This window comes from Homo sapiens, chromosome 19, assembly GCF_000001405.40.
Source record: "Homo sapiens chromosome 19, GRCh38.p14 Primary Assembly".
In the NCBI taxonomy this organism is placed as follows: domain Eukaryota; kingdom Metazoa; phylum Chordata; class Mammalia; order Primates; family Hominidae; genus Homo; species Homo sapiens.
The window spans coordinates 52,140,174-52,143,817 of NC_000019.10; the positions used below are offsets into that span (position 1 = coordinate 52,140,174).

The following is a 3,644-nucleotide window of genomic DNA, read 5'->3' on the forward strand; positions in this document are numbered from 1 at the left end:
ACTCTGGTTCACAGGCAGCATGTCTTTGGTTTTCTGACTACTTCTTGTCCTGTGAAGCAGCGTTGCTGCCTGCCTATTTTAAGTTAATGTTTCAAAATTTAAGGTTAAAGCTTAAAGTTGTGGTCCACTTATATTAGAAACTAAGATGATTTCTTAACAAGTTGAACTAAGTCAAAACCGATTTTTACAAGCTTGGTGGACTCCATCCACTCTTGCCGATGATGCTGAAGCTACTCAATAGTCAGGGAACTAGGATCTCGCTGGGGATTTGATGTGGAGCCGTGGCTGGATCCAGGAACCCGGAAGACATTATGCCAAGCGAAATATGCTAGACACAGAAAGACAAATACTGCCTGTGCTTTTACACGTGCAAAGTACAAACGTCAAATTTACAGTAACAGATTAGAAGGGTGGTTACCAGGGCTGGGGGATGTATCCTATGCCTTTATCACCATTATATTTTGGAAGCAGATAACTTCTCTGGCCTCACAGATTCACAGCTGGGCAGAAATTTTGCCTCAGGATGAATCACACCTTGATTCTCACCCATGTGTGGTTCAGATAATATTTAGGGGGTATTCTGCCCTAAGAGCTGATACAGGAATGGATTAAGACTTTTGAGAGTTGATACTGAAATGGATTAAGTCTTTTGAGATGGGCCAGCAGTTTTGGAGGCCCAGGTGGGCAGGTCACTTGAGCTCAAGAGTTCAAAACCAGCCTGGACAGCATCGTGAGACCCCCATCTCTACAAGAAATACAAAAAGTAGCCAGGCTTGGTAATGCACTCTTGTAGTCCCAGCTACTTGGGAAGCTGAGGTGTCAGAATTGCTTGAGGCCAGGGATTTGAGATCATCCTGGGCAACATAGCCAGACCTCTCTACAAAAAATTAAATTATCTGGACATGGTGGCCTGCACGTGTGGGCCCAGCAACTCGGAAGGGTAAGGAAGGAGGATCATTTGAGCCCAGGAGGTGAAGGCTGCAGTGAGCCATGAGAAGAGGAGATTTGGTTGGGTGCAGTGGCTAACGCCTATAATCCCCACACTTTGGGAGGCCAAGGTAGCAGGGAGCTAACTTGCATTCTTCTGTTAGCTGAGGCGTTTGATGATAAATGAAAGCAGAAAGTTTGTGACTTATTTACGTTCTTTCCACAGAAAGGCCATATGTCCTTGGCCATAAAGAAAAAGAGACCTACAGCTTATCTGCTTCCTCTATTTTTTTTTATATGTTCTGGACCATGAAGAAAGATTTATAGCTTATTTGCTTTATCTCTTTGCTTTCTCCTGGTCCTTTCAGGCTGACTCCTTTTCCCCAATTAGGGCTCCACAGACTCTACCCTCAAAGGGCATTTTTTTCTCACCCTCCTATAAAATCCCTCCCACAAATAAACCAGGATCCTATTTCCCAGCATGAAAAGTTTGTTGGAAAAAAAACTGAGGCTGCATGGGACCTTCTTTCTCTTCTTCAAAACTACTTCACCTCTTCTCTCTTTTGTCTCTCTCTTCCTAACTGCCCTGCACAATTCTAGGTCCCCAGTGAATCCTTGGGTTGACATGCAAGGGAAGAACCCATAGGGAAAGGAAATCTCTGGCTTTCAGAGATAACTTTTTGGATATCTGGATGCATTCATAACCATCCTTGTGTTACCAGAAAGGGGTCCTGATCCAGAACCTGAAACTTCCATTGCACAATTATAACTGAGAAAATTATTACAGTGAAAGAGATCTGACCTAATCAACTCCATCTTGCTTTTAACCTCCAAGCTGCTCTTGTTCATTCCTGGGCATAGGCTGAACTAACTTTGGAAGGAACTTAGTTTATAGTTTGAAACAAAGACATTAACAGCCCTTTCCCAAAACAAACCCCCTTCCTGCTTGGGGACTAGACTGCCTTTGTAAGACTAACAAATTAGGCACAAGGTGAGAGATGATGGTTTAGGAGTCATGTAGCTGGAGGCTACAAGATTCTCACCCTTCCCAGATTGTTCCTGGGGATAACATTACTATTATAAAACCTAAGATCAGTGCTTGAGATATTTTGCATTCCCTGCACTTGATGGATCACCTGACACCAACCCAGATCCATAAACTGGCTCATCTGGTCTTGTGACCCCACCCAGGAACTGACTCAGTGCAAAATGACAGCTTCAGATCTCTATGATTTCGTCTCCTACCCAACCAATCAGCACTCCCGACTCACTGACACCTACCTATCAAATTATCCTTAAAAACCCTGATCCCCGAGTTTTCAGGGAGACTCATGTGAGTAATAAAAAAATTTCAGGTTCCTGTACAGCCAGCTCCACATGAATTAAACTCTCTCTTGCAATTCCCCTGTCTTGATGAATCAGCTCTGTCTAGGCAGCAGGGAAGGAGAACCTGTTGGGCAGTTACAACCAAAAGGGAGGGTTCTTGGATCTCATGCAAGAAAGAATTAGGGGTGAGTTCACACTGTAAAGTGAAAGCAAGTTTACTAAGCAAGTAAAGGAACAAGGCAGGGTGCAGTGGCTCACGCCTGTAATCCCAGCACATTGAGAGAGGCTGAGGTGGGCAGATTGCTTGAACCCAGGAGTTCAAGAGCAACCTGGGCAACATTACAAAACTCTATCTCTACAAAAAATACAAAAATTAGCCAAGGGTAATGGTGTGCACCAGTAGTCCAAGCTAGTTGGAAGGCTGAGGTTGGAAATTGCTTGAGCCTGGGAGAATTTTTTTTTTTGAGGCAGTGTCTGGCTCCGGTCACCCAAGCAGTAGTGCAGTAATGCCATCTCGGCTCAGACTCTAATTCAACACGGAATGTTGAGCTTCTGAGCGTGATATAGCGGAAGTGCCTTCTCTTCCGGTCTCTCTGGTCTTGGCCGCAGAAGCCAGATGACGAAGGGAACGTCATTGTTTGGAAAGCGTCGCAATAAGACGCACACGTTGTGTTGCCGCCGTGGCTCTAAGGCCTACCACCTTCAGAAGTCGACCTGTGGCAAATGTGGCTACGCTGCCAAGCGCAAGAGAAAGTATAACTGGAGTGCCAAGGCTAAAAGACAAAATACCACCGGAACTGGTGGAATGAGGCACCTAAAAATTGTATACCACAGATTCAGGCATGGATTCTATGAAGGAACAATACTTAAACCCAAGAGGGCAGCTGTTGCAGCATCCAGTTCATCTTAAGAATGTCTATGATTAGTCATGCAATAAATGTTCTGGTTTTAAAAAATACAAAAAAAAATACTGAATGTTTACTCCTGAAACTTATGATGCCTAGGTTGAGAAAGACTCAATTTTCCTCATGCTAAATACTTTATACATGTCCTTTATTCATGCATACATAGGACACTTTACACAATATAATTGTTGAAAGTGCTTCTGAAATACTGTTCAAATTGTCTATAATATTTTTACACATGCACTATAAAAATTAAATTTATCAGACAATAAATATTAAATAATTTAATAAAATTGCATTTTTCAAAGGCTCTAACAATGCATATTTGAGTTATCATATTAAACATTGTATTCTATGATTTTTCAACTGTAATATAATTTTTTTTGAGATGGGATCTTGCTCTCTTGCCCAGGCTGCAGTGTGGTGGTGCAATCACGGCTCATGCAGCCTCCACCTCCCCAGGCTCAAGTGATCCTCTCACCTCAG

At 43.0% G+C, this 3,644-nt stretch overlaps 1 pseudogene, besides 1 other annotated feature; it reads left to right on the forward strand.

Moving 5' to 3' along the window:
• Positions 11 to 60: a silencer, noted in NCBI's record as "silent region_10992". NCBI's record gives its function as "represses an Ori minimal core promoter by ATAC-STARR-seq in GM12878 lymphoblastoid cells {active_cell/tissue: GM12878}" and the evidence as "EXISTENCE:reporter gene assay evidence [ECO:0000049][PMID:35858748]".
• Positions 2,833 to 3,213, forward strand: RPL37P23 (ribosomal protein L37 pseudogene 23; annotated as a pseudogene).